Source organism: Homo sapiens, chromosome 7 (assembly GCF_000001405.40).
Source record: "Homo sapiens chromosome 7, GRCh38.p14 Primary Assembly".
NCBI lineage: Eukaryota > Metazoa > Chordata > Mammalia > Primates > Hominidae > Homo > Homo sapiens.
This window is the reverse complement of record NC_000007.14, coordinates 124,336,456-124,360,318: the sequence shown is the minus strand read 5'-3', so window position 1 is coordinate 124,360,318 and position 23,863 is coordinate 124,336,456. Positions and strand designations below refer to the sequence as shown.

Sequence of the window (23,863 nt, the reverse complement as noted above, 5' to 3'; positions counted from 1 at the left end):
TGGGACCCCCACTTGCTTCCATGAATCCAAGTGTTTTTCCCAAAGTCACAGTTCAGTAGTACCTACCCCTCTAACCTCTAGCAAGGAATGCAGTGCCACATGGAGTTACTGTGCACATACTTTTTTTTTTAGGGAGGTGGAGAGTTGACCTCCTACTGGCCTCTGTGGGGCTGGGTGGCCCAAGAGATTCTTAGGCTCGAGAACAGGTCACTGTAAAAAAAAAGCAGAAAATAGAATAAAACAAAATTCACCATACCAATCACCCAAGATGGCAAAACAGAAAAATATCATTGAGGAAAATTACTGGTAAATGCAAATATAACAAAAAAAGTGTACAAAAATATATATATGATTACTTAGGAAGAATTGTAAAATATGTTTAGGTAAAAAAAGAAGATTAAAAATAGTACATACAGATGGATTCCATTTTTATAATTATACATTTAATTTGTATATAATAAGATAGTCATGAGAATAATTGGTTATTTTCCCTGGATAAAAGAAAAAATGATATCTTATTTTCTAATTTTTGTTCACATGTGTGTTTTTTAACTGAATGTTTATGTCTCCCCCAAATTCATATGTTGAAACCCTAATCCCTAGTGTGATGGTGTTTGGAGACAGGGCCCTTAGAAGGTAATTAGATCACCAGGGTAGAGGTTTCATGATGAATTTGGTGCCCTTTTAAGAGAAACACAAGAGAGGTTGCTTCTCTCTCTCTCTCTTTCTCTCTCTCTCTCTCTCTTCATCCATGTGAAGATACAGCAAGGAGTTGTCCATCTACAAATCAGGAAGTGCACCCTCACCAGACCAAAGCTATCAGAGCCTTGATCTTGGATTTCTCACCCTCCACAACTGTGAAAAGTAAATGTCCATTGTTTAAGCCACTCCATCTATGGTGTTTGTTATAGCAACCCAAACTGAGCAAGACAAGCACATGTGCTGAAAAACATGTGAGTTTAATTTTAAGGATTACACCCACAACATTTCCCTGAAATATGATCTATAAAGATGTATAAAATAGTACATCTACAAAGAAACTCTCCAGGTTAAAAACAAAATCAACAAATCATCATTTATCGATGTGGCAAAGGAAAAGTGTTCTGATTTTTACTTCAAACATAAAATTGGATAAGGAAAACAGTAACAAAGTTATCAAGAAAGAATACTTCCATCTTTTAATTCATGCTACTTCTGAAGCAAAAATGAATCAGTTATTTCTTTCCCTGGCCTAAAATACATATCAAATAAAGGGAAGGCTTTGTGTTAAGATTAGGAAAGCTCATTCAATTCTCTATATTCTCTAAAGAAAATTGCTGCATTACCTTATTTATTTTCTTCCTTTCCATGTCAACTACAATCAGACAAATTAATAGCAGTCTCTCATTTTTTTTATTAGTAGCCAGGTGGTATAAGAAAAATGCTATATTTGGAGTTTTGCAACAGTGAAGTTTTGCACAGATATTTTACTGAACCTGTTTGCTCATCTATAATATGACAATAATGATGAGTTCTACCTCATAGAATTGCTTAAAGGCTAAAATAAAACATTGCGGTGGGCAAAAACTATTTTTAAATGGTTAAAATGCTGGAATTTGTTTGCTATAATTATTCAAGTTATGGCAGTCTGATATTCAATAGAATAATTACTTCTGAATCAAAAAATGAATTTCCTGTGTATGGAAACTCCAAATACAATCATTTGTTGCCCATTCTCCACCAATTTTTTTCTCTGGCCTTTAGGGGAAATTGGAAGGATCATAGCAGCCAGAGAAAGTTAGCAAAGAAAAAAGTAAGATTTGATGAAACATTAGAGGCAAAGTCTGAATGCTTTTGCCTCTACTCTGCTCTGGTTCAGTGGAATCAGAAAGATCGCTGTATAAAAATTACAGTTATTACAGTCCTTACTGTTTGCAGAAGAGGAAACCCTGGCCTGAGGAGATAAATCGACCAGGCCGAAGTTACTTTTATGGCAAGTGGTTGATTTTCTATCCTCTAAACTCAGAATCTGAGAGGTTAACAACCAACTTTCATGTACAGAACAGAAAAATAAGAAGTAGACATGCCAGAAGGCACAGATAGTTAATTATTAAGTCAGAATTTCTCATCTATAAAGCAGAAATAGTATTCCTCAAAGAGGAATAAACATATCAAAGAGTTGTTAACATAATTAAATAGAATTATTTAAATAAAAATACTTGAAGCAATGTGTGGTTCATAGAAGTTGCTCAGTTAATGTTCCTAACCTTAATTACAGGCAATTGGTGCCAGGGCTATAAATACAACATCTAATTTACCCTGGCAAAAATAAACTTTTATCTATATTTACTAAGTAAGAAATACTACTTTCCTGTTTTGTGCCCACCGAGCGCCAAAATTCAAATAGTATTCAGGAAAGTATCTAAATGTGGCAAAGTTATAACAATTATGAATTCTTTATCTTGGAATTTGATGAAAAGGAATAAATGATTTATTGAAAATAAATGAACCTACAACTTGGGAGTTTTGAAAACAGTTCATAACATAAAAAACACTAACATATAGTGCTCTGAATATTCTGATATCAGCTTTTGATTGTTTTTTACTAAAAAGTAGGTAATACATTTAGTCTATGTATTTCCCTAAAATGGTTATAAGCAGAACAAGAAGAAGATGAAGGGGAGAGATTTGCAGATTCGCTAAGGGAAAGCATTCCAGGCAGTGCAACAGCCTTGAAGTAGGAGCATGACTGTTAGATGTAAAACAGATTGTGCCCAATGCATAAAAAGGAGAAAGCATACAAGGTCAGGGACACAAAAGGATTCTAAAACATGAAGGGCCTTGTAGGCCAAAGAAGAACTTAAATTTTTACTGTGAGTGAAATAGGCGGAGGAGTGACATGATTTTAGGTTTTATGGAAATCATCCTGACTCCTATGCTGAAAATAAGCTATGGGGAGTATGGGGCAAAGGGTATAAGGAGACAGCTCAGTTAGAAAACTATTACAGCAGTTCAGGCAATAGAAGCTCATACAGAAAATGAAAATGCTTCCAAAAATAACAGTGGAGCAGAAAAAAATAAAGAATAAAGGAGAGTGTAAATATGTGAGCAAATCTAAAAGAATACTGACTTTTTAAAACAACAGTAATAGAGGGGTTTAAATAAATTGAGAAATAAAATGTATGGCAGTAACATCATAAAAGGTGAGAGAGCTTCTAAGGTCCTAGCATTGCTGGTAGGTTATAAAAGTATTAGTATGTTAGACTTTAATTCAAGAAGACTTTAAGTCAAGAAGACACGCTTTTTTGAGTGGTCAGTAAACAAATAGTAAAGCGATATGTAATTAATAACCAATAGACGAGAAAAGTAAAATAAATATTATTAACTCAAAGAAACATAGAAAAAGTCTATGAAATATAGAAAACAAATAAGATAGCAAATTCATACCAATAGATTAGTAATTATCTTAGTCTACACATTCTGAGTGAAACACAAATAATCCAATTAGAAGACTTTGTTAGTCTGCTAAGGCTGCCATGACAAAGCGCCACAGACTGGGTGGTTTGTACAATACAAATTTATTTCTCACAGTTCTGGCGGCTAGAAGTCCAAGATCAAGATACAAGCTATGGAGAGAGGCTTAGACTTAGACTTCTAAGGCCTCTCTCTGCAGCCGGTAGACAGTTACCTTCTCTCTATGTCTTCACATGGTCTTCCCTTTGTCTGTGCCCAGATTTTCTCTTATTATAGGTGCACAAGTCATATTGGATTAAGGCCCAGCCTAATAACCTCATTTTGACTTAATTACCTTTTTAAAGACCCTTCTCCAAATACAATCACATTTTGAGGTACTGGGGGTTAGGGCTTCAACATGAATTTTTTTAAGAGACAATTCAGCCCATTACAAAGACAAACACCATAAAAGCCCTCAGCTTTGTTTATGAGGTATACACCTTTAGTGATAAAAAATGATATACTGTGCAAATACTAACCACAAGCAAACAACAAAAAATGCTGGCCTAGCTATACTTGCATCAAAGAAGAATTCAAAGCAAAAATTGTTATGAAAAGCAATAAAAACCTTTCATAATGATGAAGTCATCAGTCAGCCAGAAAATTATCACACAGTTCTAATTATATTAAAATTTGAAAGCATTAAGAAAAAATAATAGACAAAACCATAATCATAAAGGAAAATGATAACATGCTTTTTATCAGTAACTGATAGAATATGCAGACAAAAAAATCAGTAAGAATATAAATCAGTTTTGATCTAACCTACATTAAACCTTTAAATGCTCAAAGACTACATTACACAATCTTTTCAAGAAATCACTTAAGAAAATTGGAAAGAAAAAAGCAAGTATCAACAGATTTCCAAGAGTTAACTAAAAAGGTTTTGTTCTCTGGCTATGTTAGAATTAAGCTCAAACTCAATATAACTAGCTAGAAAATAGCCAATGGTTTATAATTTAAAATGTATATCTAAATATACATGGATAAAAAATGGGAAATTTTAAAACTGAATCAAAACCTGTGGATGCAGCTAAGTCTGTGCTCAGAGGAATTTTTCTAGACTTAAATATATATATTAGTAAAGAAGAAAGGGTGTAATGGAATGTTCTATGTATTTGTCTCAAAAATTGAAAGTATAGCAACAAATTTAATTCAAAGAAAATGGAAGGAAATAACAACTAAAGTTAATGAATTATTAATAAACATACAATAGAAAGAATCAAAGTAAATTTTGATTATTTGAAAAGACTCATAACAGTGATACACTACTGGTGAAACTAATAAAGAAAAAAGAAGTAGAACAAAGTAAACTGATACAGATGCTTCGGTATTAAAAAATCACAAGTTATTATGTACAACTTCACATTAATATATTTTATATGTTAAATAAGATAGATAAAGTCCTCAGTTAGCCTTATTTTATGTTTTTGTTTGTTTGAGGTGGAGTTTTGCTCTTGTCGCCCAGGCTGGAGTGCAATGGCACTACCTCATCTCACTGGAAGCTCTGCCTCCTGGGTTCAAATGTTTCTCCTGCCTCAGTCTCCCACGTAGCTGGGATTACAGGTGCCCACCACCACACCCAGCTAATTTTTGTATTTTTAGTAGAGACAGGGTTTCGCTATGTTGGCCAGGCTGGTCTTGGACTCCTGACCTCAGGTGATCCACCCACCTTGGCCTCCCAAAGTGTTGGGATTACAGTATTTTAATGCACTAACAATGACACTGCCTTTAGACTGGATAGTTTATCAGCTGTACGAATTGGAAAAATCAAATATGGGAATACAGAAGATTTTCATTTTTCTTCTCTTCTGGTTTCTTTTCCTAGACTTGTCATGTTTTCAATGATTGTTAGGTCCTCTTTGCCTGCTGGGAGATGTTCATTTATTTGATAATGTGTTTTTGTTACCAAGTTTTGGATTTAATTAACAACTACTTAATAAATATTTGTTTATTACCTTTATGTGTCAAATGGTGTGCTAGGAGCTAGAGCAGCTATTACAAACAAGATATAATCCTGTTGGGCTCCCAAATTCTAACTGGAGTAAAAGCAAATGGAGAAAGAGAGGCATATGTAATATGCTGTTGGGAGGAGTTGAGAAGATTGCTCCAAAAAAAAAAAAAATCAGGGAAGAATGCATGATGCTTGACATAAGTTCTAAAGGAAAAATTAGAACAATACAAAAATTATGTAGAGAACAGAACTTTGGATCCAGGAGTGAGAGCAAATCTGAAGGTCTGAAGACATATGTGCATGCAGGTAAAATTTAAGTACATATCTTACAACTCTCCTCCTCTCTGCTATGCTTATTAAATATTGGATTTTGCTTTACTGTTGAGCTAGGAATGGGTTTTGACTATTTACTGGTCCTTGTAGCTGGATGGCTTCCTCCAGCCTGTGTTCTCTTTGACATCTGTGATTTTTTTTTTTTTTTATTTGTGGCATATGGTGGAGAAGGAAACAGATTTACACTTTTGTCTTTGGCAGAAAAAGTCATTTTCTTTTTTGATTCTAAACTGAAAATATTATGCCATGGCACCTCCTGTTTAAATATAATTTTAAAATGTCCCTTTTATCATCCTTGACCCTACACTTTCATGCCACTTAGGTTTACTTAACAATGACTATCACTTGAGGTGCACAAGAAGAATTCAGACTTTTCACCTTTTTCTTCAGAGAAATTTCATAGCTCACAGCTTTATACATTCAATCAGTGAAGCATCTATTGACTTTCTTTTATGTGACAAACAGGACATCACAAATGTGAGTAAAACAGCCTTTACCTCGAAGAACTGCATCCATGATCTTGCAATACTCACACTGTCTTCTTCACCTTCAGGAATTAGTTGTATCTAGAAAAAGTTCCTAGGCAGTTTAGCTAATGTATAAAGTCAATGTGGTTTTAGAGTATTTGCAATGTACAGAAAGGCTGTCAAGTTTTATAGAAACTATTAAAGAAGCAAAACTCACTGGTTTGATGCCTTGCCACTGCTACTGTTAAGAAGTCTGGAGTCTGAAAATGAAATTCTGTCATTGCACTTGTTACAATATTAATATCTTTACCCATGTTGACAAGTGGGCAGAACACATTTATGTTATGCAAGCCTTTTCTGTAATTTAATTGATCTTTCAAAATTTACTACATTGGCCTTGGGTTGCCACTCAGAAAAATTACCCTAAAACTTACATTCCACTGCCAAACATAAGACCTTCCAGGTAACCTAATGATATAATAGAGATTGACAGTACTATTGCCCCCATATAAAAGAGTATGAATGAAAGAAAAATCTGCCCGGTTTCCTCATATCATCTTTTACAGGAAATATGGAGTCTCACAGACTTTTCTTTATGGGGAACCTATCTGTCATTGCTTGTCATCCTATGATAGAGCAATTCAGTCTGTAATCAAATAAGCCTGGAAGTCATTTTTATTTATGTTTCAAATGGTAAAATATGGCTGTCTTAGGGCATAGAAGAATGAAAAATCACAATCTTCAGCTGGTGATCTTTAAGAACTCTGTTCTTGCATGTATCCAGTCTTTTATCTTAAGTCTTATTTTCAGAGTCTTGATTACCAGGAGATAATTCTTCTGCCTTCTTCCTACTAAGTCAGCTGTGTCCTTCTTCAAATTAGCCCTATTTGGTGAGTGTCCTTATTTCCCTCTGTAAATGCTTCTAAGAAAAACAATCACACAGTCAAAAAAGAAACTAAGACATACACAGGAAAATAAAATGACATGATTTTTCTGAACCATCATTTGTTTTTTCATCATATTTATCACTGACGTTTAGCTAAAATCTCAAAGAAAAATGAAAACTTCAATGTGATAAATAAAAATACCAATATATTTATTATTAAATTTCCTTTTTGATAGTGTTAGCAGCTTACAACTACTTGGGAAAAAAAAACGTGTTTTGGTCAAAATTCATGCCATCCAAACAAAGAAAGCTAATGAGATGAGGAACAATATTACCTCATGAAAACAGCAGTCTGTTTCATTTCCTATGACCTGTAATGCAAAAGAAGTAAACGTTTGTCAAGTTTTTAAAGAAATAAAATAGAAAGTTATTTCAGATAAGCCCAAAGATTTTTCCAAACAATAGATTCTATACCATTTTCAAACACTGAAATATTTATTTGAATATTTTATCATTTTACTCTTATTGAATGCTAAATCAATAAGATTTTCTCTTCTTATGTCACTAAAAATGCATATCATCAGAAAATAGAACAGGGCAATGGTTCATTTGGCTCTGCATAAGCATCTCCTTCTATAGAAAAATGAAATGTTCTTCCTTAGATTACAGGAACAAGTATAAAAGGGAATTAAAGGGGAAGAAAAGGTAATCAACAAAAAAGCAACAGGCCGATCTTTATCTGAGCTAGTAAACTTCGACACCTTCTAGAATCCAACCACTTTTCACTGTATATAGCATATGTTCAAGTCTGAACAAGAGCCAGAAACTGGAAACTCAGATATGCCCGCAAAAAACGTATGTGTGGAAAGTCTGAGGTCTACAGAGGTGCATAGGGTGTTCTATCAGCCTGATTTTCAGAAAAGCTGGTGAATCCATCACTGGCTTCCTCTTATCATGGCTGCATGCTAAAAATGGAGGTGATTAATATGCTAAGTAGGAAAACCTTGGCTGTCAGTCGCCTGCATTCAGCTGCCAGAACCTTGAAATTAGGTCATGGCCGCCAGGGAAAATTCCTTCTCAGATGGCAGGCTGCGTGAACATGCGAACAGACCCAGACGGTAGGAAACACCTCCCAAAGTACCCAAAGTGATGGGAATGATATGCACTATTAAAATTACATCAACCTGTGATTCCAAGACCTTTCATTATGGAACCGAAACACAGCTGTAAACTTCACACCTCAGTTTTCATTCTGCCCTTGAAAAGGAACAGAAAGAAACAAATCTCTTTTCCAATTTTTCCAGCTATTTCCTCAATAGCTTGAAGATTTAGCATTGTAAGTATTGGATTTCTCTCAATGAGCACAATTCCTAATAGTTTTAAAAAATATTAAATGTTAGGACTCCATCTTCACATAAGTCATGGCCATCCTGAAAGATGTGTGTCTGTGAGTGTGTAGATATATGTGTGTATGTGTATGCATACCCACATTTATATGCATCTTTATGTAAGGGATGGCATTCCTGAAAGATGTGTTTGTAGGGGTGTGTGTGTGTGTGTGTGTGTGTGTGTAGGGGTGTGTGTGTATATGTATATATATGCAAGAAATTGCTGTTGAAGTCACAAATATTCATGAGGAATCATTTATAATAACTATGCTTTACCATCTTCAAAATAATGAATTATATTTTCAAGTAGTCAAGCTGAAATATTGTTAGGATGTTTTGCTAAAATGCCATAGACTTTGGAGATTAAATAAAGCCTTTTATTCCTAAGTTAATAATATTGGAAAAACTTGAGGCTAAAAGGTACTTTTATTTCCAGAAAGGGAATCAGTGTATAATAGGAGAAAGACCATCAGTAAAAAGTTCAAGAACAAGAGTGTAAGTTCTGCCTTTATTATTCATTTGCTTTTTTTTTTTTTTTTTTTTTTTTGAGACGGAGTCTTGCTCTGTGGCCCAGGCTGGAGTGCAGTGGCACGATCTCGGCTCACTGCAAGCTCCACCTCCCAGGTTCACGCCATTCTCCTGCCTCAGCCTCCCCAGTAGCTGGGACTACAGGCACTCGCCACCATGCCTGGCTAATTTTTTGTTTTTTAGTAGAGATGGGGTTTCACCATGTTAGCCAGGATGGTCTCAATCTCCTGACCTCGTGATCCACCCGCCTCAGCCTCCCAAAGTGCTGGGATTACAGGCGTGAGCCACCGTGCCCGGCCTATTCATTTGCTTTTTAACCATAGGCCTCACTCTATTTATCTGTAAAATAATTAGTTAGAAATAGTTAAAAATAGATTATTTCTATATCTACTTATACCTATAAGCCCTCAAGATTATTTTATTTGAATAACAAACACTCAGGAGAAAAAAATTGAAGCTCCTAGTATTTGCATACACTGTTAATTCATAAAGGGTTACATGTCATCACTTATATTGTATACTAAGGTAATAACAACTGCAATGACAGTTGAATATGGGCTTGCAAAATTTAGAAGGCATCAAGATATCAAATTGGGCTTTAGATTTCAACACCCTTTCTTTAGCAGAAATAATTTATTGTACATGTTTCCCACCCACAACAGTAGAGCCACCTATTGCAGGGGGAAAAATTGTCCCTTTGGCTCAGTTAAGGGTCTCTGCATCCATCAGAGGTGAGCTGTTGAATGCATAGGTATTTACAATGATTAGGTCTACAAATTGTAAATCTGAAAATTCTCATGATGAACATGTTGAAGTATAAAATTCCAGTTCAGATTGTTAAGTGACTACAGTTTCATAATTTGACATGTTTTAGTTTGAGAAGTCCAGGGTTTGCAGGACTGTAGCAACAACCTAAATCCAATCATTCCAAATGCCAACTCACTATGCAGTTTTATTGGAGTAACAGCAGAGCAGCTCTCAATTCTACAAAGAAGACTTGAGAGTCTTTAGGGTCAGTTATATATAGTTAACAAAACAAAACAAAACACCTTAACATTCAGTATTACTTATTGGGCACCAGTAAACGGTGCCCACTCAGAAAACGGTGACTTGGTTACCTGTGAAATAACTAATCTATATACAGGCTGAGGTCTGAAATCTGAGACTGTTTCTCAGCCTGGGAAGAATTTCCAAACTCCCCCAAATGGATTTTCATTTTATAATTCTTCAGATTTTTCCCTTAACAAAATTTCTAGTGGTGGATAGGAGGCAGGACTAGCTTGAAGCTCTGGCTTGGACAGACAAAACAATGTGTAGTGACTTACATGGTGAACTTTTGCTCTAAGAACTTCTGCAGGATGATACCAGGAAAGCTGAGATAAACCACAGGCCATTTGAAGGAACTGGATTGCCGCTGCAGGCTCCCTGAGATGCTGAAAACTGTGAGTCTGTTTGCTTTCTCAGTGGAGAGGCTGGTGGTCTGGGGCTAGTTCTCAGCCCTGATCACTGGCTGCCTGGTAATAGAGTCAGTGCTCTTTGTGGGGCATGGTGGGAATGAGACTGGCTTTTAGGATTGTGGGCTGTGTGGGAGTGGGATGAGGCCTGTGACTGGCAGCTTTCCCGCAATTCCCTGGTGACCTGTATGACTCAGCAGAGGCAGCCATAATCCCTCTGGGAATATAACTCCATTGGCCTGGGAACCACACCCCCATCCTCCATAGCAGCCATAGCAAGACCCTCCAAAGGAGAATCTGAGCTCAGACAAGCCTATCCCTGCCCCAACCTCGTGGTTTTTCTCTACCAGCCCTGGTTACCAAAGATAAAGGACATATCTCTTGGGAGCTCTATGGCCCTGCCCACTGCCTGAGAAACATGAATACTTAACTGGATGACCCTAGGAAAAGTTTGAAACCTTCCTAGAGTACCACAGCTGATGCACTCTTGAAAGTACCACATCTTGGTTGGAGGCCAACTAATACAAAACCAGCACACTGAACAAAAATACAACCAAGGATCCCCACAGAGTCCATTTCACTCCCTTGCTGCCTCCACCATAGCAGGTGCTGGTATCCATGGCTGAAAGACCTGAAGACAGAGCATATCATAGGACTCCTTGCAGACACTCCCCAATACAAGCACAGAGCCAGGGAGCTTCACTGAGTGGCTAGACCCAGAAGAGCAAAAACAATCACTGCAGTTTGGCTCTCAGGAAGCCCCATTCCTAGGGGAAAGGGGAGAACACCACATCAAGGGAGCACCTGTAGGACAAAAGAATCTGAACAGGAGCCATTGAGTCCCAGATCTTTTCTCTGACATAGTCTACCCAAATGAGAAGAAACCAGAAAAATAATTCTGGTAACATGACAAAACAAGGTTCTTTAACACCCCCAAAGATCACACCAGTTCACCAGCAATGGAGCCAAACCAAGGTGAAACCTCTGAATTGCCAGAAAAAGAATTCAGAAGGTTGATTATTAAGCTAATCAAGGAGACACCAGAGAAAAGTGAACTCCAACTCAAAGAAATAAAAAAAACATGATTTAGGATAAAAAAGAAAAAATCTTCAGTGAAACAGATAGCATAAATAAAAAACAATCACAACTTCTGGAAATTAACGACACACTTAGAGATGTCCAATGCAAAATGCACTGGAAAGTCTCAACAATAGAATCAAATAATAAGAAGAAAAAACTTCAGAGCTTGAAGACAAGGCTTTCTAATTAACCCAATCTGTCAAAGACAAAGACAAAATAATTTTTTAAAAAATGAACAAAGCCTCCAAGAAGTTTAGGACTACGTTAAATGTCCAAACCTAAGAATAATTGGTGTTTCTGAGGAAGAAGAGAAATCTACAAGCTTGGAAAACATATTTGAGGGAATAATTAAGGAAAACTTTCCCAGCCTTGCTAGAGATCTAGACCTTCAAATACAAGAAGCTCAAAGAACACCTGGGAAATTCATCACAGGAAGATCATTGCCTAGGTAAATGGTCATCAGGTTATCTGAAGTCTAGATGAATGAAATAATCTTAAAAGCTATGATGCAAAAGCATCAGGTAAACTATAAAGGAAAGTCTATCAAAGTAACAGCAGATTCATCAGCATAAACCCTGCAGCTAGAAGGGATTAGGGTCCTATTTTTAGCCTTCTTAAAGGAAACAATTATTATCAGCCAAGAATTTCATGTCCAGCAAAACTAAGCTTCATAAATGCAGGAAAGACACAGTCTTTTCCAGACAAATAAATGTTAAGAGAATTCACCACTACCAAGCCAACAGTACAAGAACTGCCAAAAGGAGCTCTAAATCTTAAAACAAATCCCTGAAATACACCAAAATAGAACCTCCTCAAAGCATAAGTAAGTCTCACAGGACCTATGTAACAATAACAATGAAAAAAAACACAAATAAGGTGTTCAGGCAACAAACAGCATGATGAATAGAATACTACCTCACATCTCATTACTAACATTGAATGTGAATGGCCTAAATGTTCCACTTAAAAGTTACAGAATGGCAGAATGATAAGAATTCACCAACTAAGTGTCTGCTCTTTAGGATACTCACTTAACACATAAAGACTCACATGAACTTAAGTTAAAGGTGTGGAAAAAAGTATTCCCTGCAAATAGACACCAAACGTGAGCAGAAATAGCTATTCTTATGTCAGACAAAATAAACTTTAAAGCACCAGCAGTTAAAAAAGACAAAGAGGGTCATTATATAATAATAAAAGGACTAGTCCAACAGGAAAATATCACATTCCTAAATGTATATGCGCCTGTATTAGTCCATTTTCACACTGCTGATAAAGACATACCTGAGACTGGTGAGAAAAAGAGGTTTAATGGACTCACAGTTCCACATGGCTGGGTTGACCTCACAATCACAGCAGAAGGTGAAAGCCATATCTAACACGGCAGCAGACAAGAGAAGAAGAATTTGTGCAGGGAAACACCCATTTTTAAAACCATCAGATCTCATGAGACTCATTCACTATCATGAGAACAGCACAGGAAAGACCCACTCCCACAATTCAATCATCTCCCACTGAGTTCCTCACATGACATGTGGGAACCATGGGAGTTACAATTCAAGATGAGATTTGGGTGGGGACACAACCAAGCCATATCAGCACCTAACACTGGAGCTCACAAATTCATAAAACAATTACTATGAGACCTAAGAAATGAGAATGATGGCAACAAATAATAGTGGGGGACTTTAATACTCCACTGAAAGCACTAGACACATCATCAAGACAGAAAGTCAACAAAGAAACAATGAATTTAACTTATACCCTATGACAAATGGACTTAACAGATATTTACAGATATTCTACCCAATAACTGCAGAATATACATTCTATTCATCAGCACATTGAACGTTCTCCAAGATAGACCACGTGATAGGCCACAAAACAAGTCTCAGTAAATTTAAGAAAATTGAAATTATATAAAGTACTCTCTCAGATCATAGTGGAATAATATTGGAAATCAACTCAAAAAGGAACCCCCAAAACCGTGGAAATGAAATAACCTGCTCCTGAATGATCACTGAGCCAACAATGAATCAAGATGGAAATTTAAAAATTATTTGAACTAAATGATAATAGTGACACATCTATCAAAACCTCTGGGATACTGCAAAAGCATTTCTAAGAGGAAAGTTCATAGCATTAAATGCCTATATCAAAAAGTCTGAAAGAGCACAAATAAACAATCTAAGCTCACACCTCACAGAGCTGGAGGAAAAAGAACAATCCAAACCCAAACCCAGCAGAAGAACAGAAATAATCAAGACAAGAACAGAACTAAATGAAACTGAAACAATAACAACAAAAAAATACAAAAGGTAAATGAAACAAAAAGCTGGTTCTTTGAAGAGATAAATAAAGTTGATAAACCATTAGTGAGATTAACCAGGAAAAGAAGAAAGACGATCCAAATAAGCTCAATTAGAAACAAAATGGGAGATATTACAACTGATACAACAGAAATACAAAAAATTATGCAAGGCTACCATGAACACCTTTACACACATAAACTAGAAAACCTAGAGGAGATGCAACAGTTCCTGGAAATATACAACTCTCCTAGATTAAACCAGGAAGATAGAGAATCTCTGAACAGACCAATAACAAGCAATGAGATTTAAATGGTAATTAAAAAATTGCCAACCAAAAAAATCCAGGACCAGATGGATTCACAGCTGAATTCTGTCAGGCATTCAGAGAATTGGTACCAATTCTGTTGGCACTATTCTACATGATAGAGAAAGACAAAATCCTCCCTAAATCATTATATGAAGCCAGTATCACCATAGTACCAAAACCAGGGAAGGAGATAACAAAAAGTGAAAACTGCAGGCCAATATCCCGGATGAATATAGATCCAAAAATCCTCAACAAAATACTAGCTAACCAATCCAACAGCATATAAAAAAGATAATGCACCATGATTAAGTGGGTTTCATACCAGGGATGCAGGGATGGTTTAACATTTACAAGTCAATAAATGTGATATACCACATAAACAGAATTAAAAACAAAAATTACATGATCATCTCAATAATCACAGAAAAAGCATTTGACAAAATTCAGCATCCCTTCATGATTAAAACCCCAGAAAAATCGGCATAGAAGAGACAAACTTTAAGTAATAAAAGCCATCTATGAAAAACCCACAGCCAACATTATACTGAACAGGGAAAAGTTAAAAGCATTCCCCCTCAGAACTGGAACAAGACAAGGACACCCACTTTCACCACTTTTATTCAACACAGTACTGGAAGTTCTAGGCAGAGCAATCAGACAAGGGAAGGAGATAAAGAGCATCCAAATCAGTAAAGAGAAAGTCAAACTGTCGCTGTTTGCTGATGACGTGATTGTCTACCTAGAAAACCTAAAGAAGCCTCCAAAAAGCTCCTAGAACTGGTAAATGAATTCAGAAAACTTTCAGAATACAAAATTAATGTACACAAATCAGTAGCTCTGCTATACACCAACAGCAACTAAGCTGAGAATCAAATCAAGAACACAACCCCTTTTACAATAGCTGCAAAATAATAATAATAAAATACGTAGGAATATACCTAACCAAGGAAGTGAAAGATCTCTAAAAGGAAAACTACAAAACACTGCTGAAAGAAATCATTGATGACACAAACAAATGGAAATACATTCCATGCCCATGGATGAGTAGAATCAATATTGTGAAAATGACCATATTGCCAAAAGCAATTTACAAATTCAATGTAATTCCCATTAAAATACCACCATTATTCTTCACAGAACTGGAAAAAACAATCCTAAAAATCATATGAAACCCAAAAAGAGCCAAAGCAAGATCAAGCAAAAAGAACAAATCTGCAGGCATCACATTACCCGACTTCAAACTACACATGGTACTGGTACAAAACAACATGGTACTGGTACAAAAATAGACATATAGACCAATGCAACAGAATAGAGAATCCAGAAATAAACCCAAATACTAACAGACAACTGATCTTCAACAAAGCAAACAAAAACATAAAGTGGGGAAAAAGACACCCTATTCAACAAATATTGCTGGGCTAATTGGCATGTCATGTGTAGAGGAATGAAACCAGATTCTGATCTCTCTCCTTACACAAAAATCAACTCAAGATGCGTCAAAGACTTAAATCTAAGACCTAAAACCATAAAAATTCTAGAAGATAACATAAAAAAACCCTTCTAGGCATTGGCTTAGGCAAAGACTTCATGACAAAGAACCCAACAGCAAATGCAACACAAAGAAAGATAAATAGATGGGATTTAATTAAACTAAAAAGCTTCTGCACAGCAAAAGAAATAGCAGAATTAATATACAACACACAGAGTTGGAGAAAGTCTTCACAATCTATACATCAAACAAAGGACTAGTATTCAGAATCTACAACGAATTCAAACAAATCAGTAAGAAAAAACAAACAATCCCATCAAAAAGTGGGCTAAAGACATGAACAGACAATTCTCAAAACAAGATATACAAATGGCCACCAAGCATCTAGAAAAATACTCAACATTACTAATGATCAGGGAAACGCAAATAAAAACCACAATGTGATACCACCTTACTCCTGAAAGAATGGCCATAATAAAAAAAATAGATGTTGGTGTGGATGTGGTGAAAAGGGAACATTTTTAATACTGCTGGTGAAAATGTGAACTAGTACAACCACTATGGAAAACAGTGTGGAGATTTCTTAAAGAACTAAAAGTAGAGCTACCATTTGATGCGTCAATCCCACTACTAGTTGATCTACAAAATGCCCATCAGTCAATGAATGGATAAAGAAAATGTGGTGTGTATATATATGTGTATATACATGTGTGTTTATATATAATGGAATACTACTCAGCCATAAAAAGGAATAAAATAATGGAATTCACAGCAACTTGGATGAAATTGGAGACTATTATTCTAAGTAAAGTAACTCAGGAATGGAAAATGAAACATCATAGGTTCTCATTCATAAGTGGGCGCTAAGCTATGAGGATGCAAAGGCATAAGAATGATACAATGGACTTTGGGCACTCGGGGGAAAGGGTGGAAGGGTGGTGAGGGAGAAAAGAATACACATTGGGTACAATGTACACTACTTGAGTGATAGGTGCACCAGAATCTCAGAAGTCACCACTAAAGAACTTATTCATGTAATCAAATACCACCTGTTCCCTAAAAACCTATTGAAATAAAAATAAATTTTAAAAAAGTACTAAATGTCAACCATGGTTGACATGGTGCTTTCATATTCTTCCAAAACATCTTCATAAAATTAGAAAACAAAGAGTGGAAACCTATCATATCTCTACTGGAACATACAAATCTAAAGAGTTTTTCTAAATTTCTAATATTTTCATGTTATATTTGTTAGAGAGTTACTGTGAATCCCTCCACATTCTCTAGTGTATCCAGTCGCTATTGAGGGGGTTTTAAATCTTCTCCTCATCCTGCTCTCTCTTCCCTGAGTATACTTGCCCAAACTCTCCTTCCAGATAAACAGAGTCCTGGAAGACCTAAAGCAAGCTCTGTTTCCAGGGGTAATGGTGGGGGTGGCCATGGGCTAACACTGACCCCACAGTGTGTGGTGAAGAGGGAGAACTGAAAGGATCATCTGAGAGTAAAACCAGAGCCAGAAACCTCATAGAAATAAATTCTTATTATTGGCTTTGGGTAGAGGCTGACTGTCTTGTAAGGGGCTAATGCAACTCGTGATTTTAAGTCAGAGCCAATGCTCATTTACCATCCTGAAAATTCACCATAAGATTACCCAGTATACATGCATTCTGAATGCTGAGTAAAAGGTGAAACCTGAAAAAATAAAAAATAAAATAAAATAAAAAAACAAGGACGTGGTCGGGAAGATGTTAGTCAAAGGATACAACACTTCGGTTAAATAAGAAAAATAAATTCAAAAGATTTATTGTACAATATAATGACTATACTTGATAACAATGTATTTTATTCTTGAAAATCACTAAGAGAGTAGATTTTAAGTGTTCTCACCACAAAAATATAAGTATGTAAGCTAATGAATATGTTAATTAACTCAATTTAGCCATTCCACAATGTATATGTATTTCAAAACATCAAGTTGTACATGATAAGTATATATAATTTTTTTGTCAATTAAAATACAAGCATGCCTCCATTTATCACCCTTTGGTTTCTTGTGTTTTGCAGGTATTGTATTATTTTACAAATTAAACATATGTGGCAACCAGCATCAAGCAAACTATTGGCACCGTTTTCCAACAGCGTTGGTATCTCCGTGTCACATTTTGGTAATTCTTGAACTATTTCAACTGATTCCTTATTATTATATGTTATGGGATCAGTCATTTTTGATGTTATTATTGTAATTTATTTGGGGTGCCAGGAACCATGCCCATATAAGACAGTGAACTTGATAAATGTGTGCATTCTGATGGATCCACGAGCTGGGCATTCCTCCATCTCTCTCCCTAATTTTTTTGGGCTAATCTATTCCTTAAGACACAATGATATTGAAGTTAGCCCAATTAATAACCCTACAATGGCCTCTAAGTGTTCAAGTGAAAGAAAGAGTTGCATACCTCTCACCTTAAATCAAAAGCTAGAAATGATTAAGCTTAGTGAGGCACGGTGAAAGCTGAGGTATGCCATCAACATAGAGGCAAGACCCTTCATTAGCAGAAAAAATTATGATTCACTGAAGGCTTAGATGACCATTAGCATTTTTTAGCAATAAAGTATTTCCTAATTAATACCAGTTGTGAATGCAAAGGAAAAGTTCTTGAAGGAAATTAAAAGCACTACTTCAGGGGACACATGAATGATTAAGCAAAATAGCCTTATTGGCGATATGAAGAAAGCTTTGTGGTCTGGATAGAAGATCAAACCAGCCACAACATTCCCTTAAGCCAAAATCTAATCCAGATGAGATTAGGCTATGAAGGCTGAGAAAGGGAGGAAGCTGCAGAAGAAAAGCTCAAAGCTAGCAGATGTTGGTTCATGAGTTTAAGGAAAGAGGCCATCTTCATAACATGAAAGTGCAAGGTGAAGCAGTTAAGTGTTACGTAGAAGCTGCAGCAAGTTATTCAGAAGCTCTAACTAAGATCATTGATGAAGGTAGCTACACTAAACAACAGATTTTCAATGTAGACCATATAGCCTTCTATTGGAAGAAGATGCCATCTAGGACTTTTCTCGCTAGAGAGAAGCCAATGACTGGCTTCAAAGCTTCCAAGGACAGGCTGACTCTCTTGTAAGGGGCTAATGCAGCTGGTGACTTTAAGCCGAAGCCAATTCTCATTTGCCATCCTGAAAATCCCAGGTCCCTTCAGAATTATGCAGAATCAACTCTGGGCTCTATAAATGGAACAACAAAGCCTGGATGACAGCACATTTGTTTACAGCATGGCTTATTGTATATTTTAAGCCCACTGATGAGACCTACTTCTCAGAAGATTCCTTTCAAAATATTACTGGTCGTTGATGATGTGCCTAGTCACCCAAGGGCTTTGATAGAGATGTGCAAAGAGATTAATGTTGTTTTCATGCTTGCTAACATAACATCCAGTCTGCAGCCCATGTATTAAGTAGTAATTTTGACACTCAAGCCTTATTATTTAAGAAATACATTTTGTAAGGCTATTGTTACTATAGATACTGATTCCTCTGATTGATGTGAGCAAGGTAAATTGACAACCTTCTGGAAAGTATATGGCATCACCAGTCTAGATGCCATTAAAATTAATCATGATTCTTGGGGGAAAGTCAAAATGTCAATATTAACAGGAGTTTGAAAGAAGTAGATTGCAACCCTCATGGATAATTTTTGGAGGACTTCAAAACTTTAGTGGAGGAAGTAACTGCAGATGTGATGAAAACAGCAAAAAAACTAGAATTAAAAGTGAAGCCTGAAGATATGAATAAATGGCTTCAATTTCATGATCAAACCCAAAAGGATGAGTAGCTGCTTCTTACAGATGAGCAAAGAAAATAGTTTCTTGAGATAGAATGTACTCCCGGTGAAGATGCTGTGAATGTTATTAAAATGACAACAAAGGATTTAGAATATATCATAAACTTAGTTGATAAATAAAAGGCAGGGTTTGAGAGGATTACTTCTAATTTTGAAAGAGCATCTACTGTGGGTAGAATGCTATCAAACAGCATTGCTAGCTACAGAGAAATCTTTTGTGAAAGGAAGAGTCAATCGATGTGGCAAACTCCATTGTTTTATTTTTAAAAATGGCTACAGCCATCTCAGCCTTCAGCAGCCACCACCCTGATCAGTCAGCAGCCATCGACATAGAGGCAAGACCCTTCATCAGCGGAAAAGATTATGTTTCACTGAAGGCTTAGATGACCATTAGCGTTTTTTTAAAATAAAGTATTTTTTAATTAAGGTAGGTGCATTTTTTAGACATAATGCTATTGCACACTTAATAGATGACAGTGTAGTGTAAACATAGTTTTTATATGCTTTGAGAAATTTTAAAAAGTATGTGATTTCATTATAATGCTGTGATCTGGAACTAACTTGCAATATCTCCAAGGTATGCCTGTGTTCTGTCCTTGAAAATTGCTAAAAGAGTAGATTTTACATGTTTTCACTACAAAAAAATGATGTTTGTGAGGTCATCCATGTGTCAGTTATGTAAATTTAGCCATTCCATTGTATTTCACCATATTTCAAAACGCCATGTTATACCTGATAAATACATGCACTCTTTTGGACAATCAAAAATTAAATTAAAAGAACAAGGCTATGGAGAGAGAGGTAGAAGCTTTTATTCTCTTTCTCTCATTTTTTAAATGAAAGACTGCATCACCCACAGATAGAGATGCACCATTAAGGACAGAGTCATATTGGGTAATTTTCTAATTTGTCACTTTCTAGGAATGAACAATTAGCAGGGACTTTAGTAGACTTTTTAAGCCTTATTTTCCATGTCATTTATATACTTTCACATCCTATAATTTGTCTGCTGTGACCAGCGATGCCAACATCTATTCGTGCCAGGCTACACTGCTAACTAGTTTCAAAGTTGGAGCCAATCCCTCCTCTTAACCGCTGCTGCTGCTATGTCTGACAGCTTACTGCAGAGAAAATTAATATAGTTATTAATATTTTATTTGTGAACATCTCCTCTGGTGGGTTTAAGAACAAACTGCAGAAGTAAGCAGTTGATAGTACAGTTATTTAAGTTCATAAATGGCAGAATGGCCATGAGCTAAGACTCCTGTTTAGTGGGTCCTTCCCAACTGTTCAAATATTCTGTAGCCTACGCTAGACTCTTTTGTCACTTTCGTCAATATCTCAGTGTGACGTACCAAATCCGACTCAAACGACTCACATGTTACATTAGAGAATCAAGTTACGGAAAAGCAAATAAAATGTTTATGAACTGAATTAAATGAACAGAATAAATGTAATGGGGATAAATATAAATTTTATATCTAACTACCAAAATTGTTTTGCAAATTAGCAGATCAAAATATATACTGTAGAGCAGAACGTATTTTTAAAGCTGAATATTTCAGCTAATTATCCACCATATTATTTTATGGCTCCCCCAAGAAATTAAAGTTTACCTATTTTACAAATATGACTTTATTCCTCTGCTTAAAACTGTGTGCTAAGCAATGAATGGTTAAGACAATAAAGAAATGTTCCCAGGCGATTATATAAAGAATGAATAATTTATGAGTCAAGAGTCTTCCTTGTAAAACTGAAGTTATCCTTAGTGACATCAAAGCATTCCAAAAGTCAGGGGAAGAGAATACATGCATTTTCTGTGCAATTTGAGAGAGAATAAATAGTACATTGTGATCAATTAAGACCTTTTGCAATTAACTCTACTTGGTATCTAATACACCAAATAATATTCATATTAATTGACACCCTGAATACTCCATGGTGCCAGTGAGCCACAGCAGTGTGTGAAATTATGTGTGTGACTCTTTCTCTCTCTCTTTCCTGATGTTTTTCTCCTTGCCCATCTCCTCCTTCTAAAACTTCTGAAATTGAAAAAAAAAAAAATTACATCTAAGAATACAGATGAAAGAAATATCCTACTTTGTTTTTTCTTCCTCTATTCAAACTCTTTGAAGACTCTAAAGAGATAGAACAAAAATAAAAAAGGAAAAAGAAAAAGAGAGCTAGTTTCTGTTTCCTTCCTTATAAATTGTAACAATAGCAATAAACTTCACAAAGGTACAGTGATGACCCAGATTAGGTCTGTGTGGTTGAGGATGAATCTGATTACTCCCCAAATTGCCATAATTTAGCATTAGTTGAGTCACAGACCAGAAAACTGAGAAAACATATCTTAGTAATTACAGAAGTGTACAAAACACCTGAAATAATTATACGCACGTTTTAAAATTTGAGCTTCATCTGATTGTGATTGCAAAGGTTTGAAAATACTTTGGCTGATTGCAGTGGTTCACGCCTCTAATCTCAGCACTCTGAGAGGCCAGTGTGGGAGGATCACTGGAGCCCAGGAGTTCGAGACCACCCTGGGCAATATAGTGAAACCTTGTCTCTACAAAAAATAAATGAAATTAACCCATGTGATGGTCTGTGCCTAAAGCTCCAGCTACGTGTGACCAATGGGAGCATCACTCGAGCTGGGGAGGTCTAGGCTGCAGTGAGCTGTGATTATGCCATTGCACTGCAGCCTAAGTGACACAACGAGACCCTGTCTCAAAATAAGTAAATAAATAAATGAAAAGAAAAAGAAAATACTTTGAAATACATTATGCCATTCCATTCTCTTTTTTTCGGTATTCCTAATTTTTAATTGTAACTGAAAAGGTTGTTCTTTCATTCTAAAAATTTGAAAGAAAAGCATCTAAGAATTACATGTACCTGCTACATACATACATAAGTTGCTGTTGCTTTTCTCTACTTTGTTCCACCAAAATTCTTAAAAGAATGTTTATTCACCGTATAATCACATACATTTTCCTTATAGTCAGCTTGCCACTTACTACTCTCAGTTGTCTTCAAACTCCACACCACTCTATTGAAAACATTTTGCTCCAGCCACAGACTCTTTAGAGCCATATCCAAAAATATTTTTAGTAGTGCTCATTTGGCATAACTTCTCAGCACCAATGAATAATATTGATTAATCTTACTTGCTTCTCACCCTCAGTTTTTATAAAAAGTATTCTCTTAACTGCTGTATAACTTTACTTTCCTTATTCTGCTTTTATCTAATGGCTTATTTCCTTCATTTATTCATTCAGTATTGAAGACATGCTAGAAACTGTGCAACTCCCTGTCCACAAGGAATTCACTGTCAAGTAATAAGCACATAATTATTCCACTACTTGCCATGTCTTAAATAAAACTGTGTTCCAGAGTCTGCCCGTGACTCCCTTGTATTTTTCTTTGTAATGTCTCTATTGTTAATCTTAGCTACTGCAATGGTTTTAACATGTCATTTTACAGAATCGCTTTCCCACACATGTAATTAGCATGTGGCTATCTTCATCAGCATTCATGCTTGAACCTAACGTGTATCAGATCTGCACTTCATCCTGTGCTTCTTATTCATGCTCTGTAATGAGCAGCACTAGAGATATAATAAGGTAAAATGAAATATTAAGCAAGGATATATAATTTATTTGTTCAGAAAACTAATGACAGTGACATTTCTGAAAGGTGAAACTCATTTCTCTTGCCTTTACCTGGACAGCAGCATGTTTATTCTCTTGCCCAAAGTTGCAGTCATTGTGGCTATTGAGCATCATCGCACACACAGAAATGGCAAACTTAACCCATTTGACCTAGTCTATTCTTAGCCATTAGGTTGAACTGAAGTAATACACAGAATTAATGAACATGAGAGTAAGTGGAAATTGATGTCAAGAGAACTTCCAATGAATAATAAGTTGTGTGACCATGAAATGTAGTATTAAGCTATTGTTAGCCAGAGAGCTATGTTCAAATCTCTATAAATTTGGAGTAAAGCAAATAACTAGCTATATAATACTTTCTTCTTGTAGGCAGTTATATTTAGTGGAATGGAAGAAATTTTAAAATTGATAGCTAAAAGTCTAATTTTGATTGCTTCTTGAGTTGCCTTTTTGGAAAAGGAAAGGGAGAACACTGCTTATTAAGCTTTTACTTTCTCAGGTTACCAAATAAATTATTACACAGGACAATGAGTTATAAAAACCAACACTATAGAGTTTTTTATATTGAAACATTGAAAATTAAGTTCTTGGAGCAGGAATTACCAAACAAGTACTCATTCTAGAAGTGTGATAGAGAATATATTTCATCAGC

General features: G+C 35.8%; 2 long non-coding RNA genes across 2 annotated transcripts in view, besides 1 other annotated feature; one reads left to right on the top strand and one right to left on the bottom strand.

The window, feature by feature from the left end:
• Nucleotides 757–957: a silencer, noted in NCBI's record as "peak6707 fragment used in MPRA reporter construct". NCBI's record gives its function as "represses an SCP1 promoter by STARR-seq MPRAs in K562 erythroleukemia cells {active_cell/tissue: K562}" and the evidence as "EXISTENCE:reporter gene assay evidence [ECO:0000049][PMID:32103011]".
• Nucleotides 6,904–23,863, bottom strand: part of LOC107986841 (uncharacterized) — a 66,127-nt gene continuing 49,167 nt past the window's right edge. The window contains exons 3-4 of the long non-coding RNA XR_002956584.2: nt 7,468–7,503; nt 6,904–7,168 (exon numbers count right to left, since the gene is read on the bottom strand). This is a non-coding gene — a long non-coding RNA (uncharacterized LOC107986841). The remainder of the gene's footprint in view (nt 7,169–7,467; nt 7,504–23,863) is intronic.
• On the top strand, nt 8,223–22,939 carry LOC101928211 (uncharacterized). The gene is made up of 4 exons (NR_110180.1): nt 8,223–8,468; nt 10,395–10,490; nt 17,758–17,858; nt 22,819–22,939. It is a non-coding gene; the product is annotated as an uncharacterized LOC101928211 (long non-coding RNA).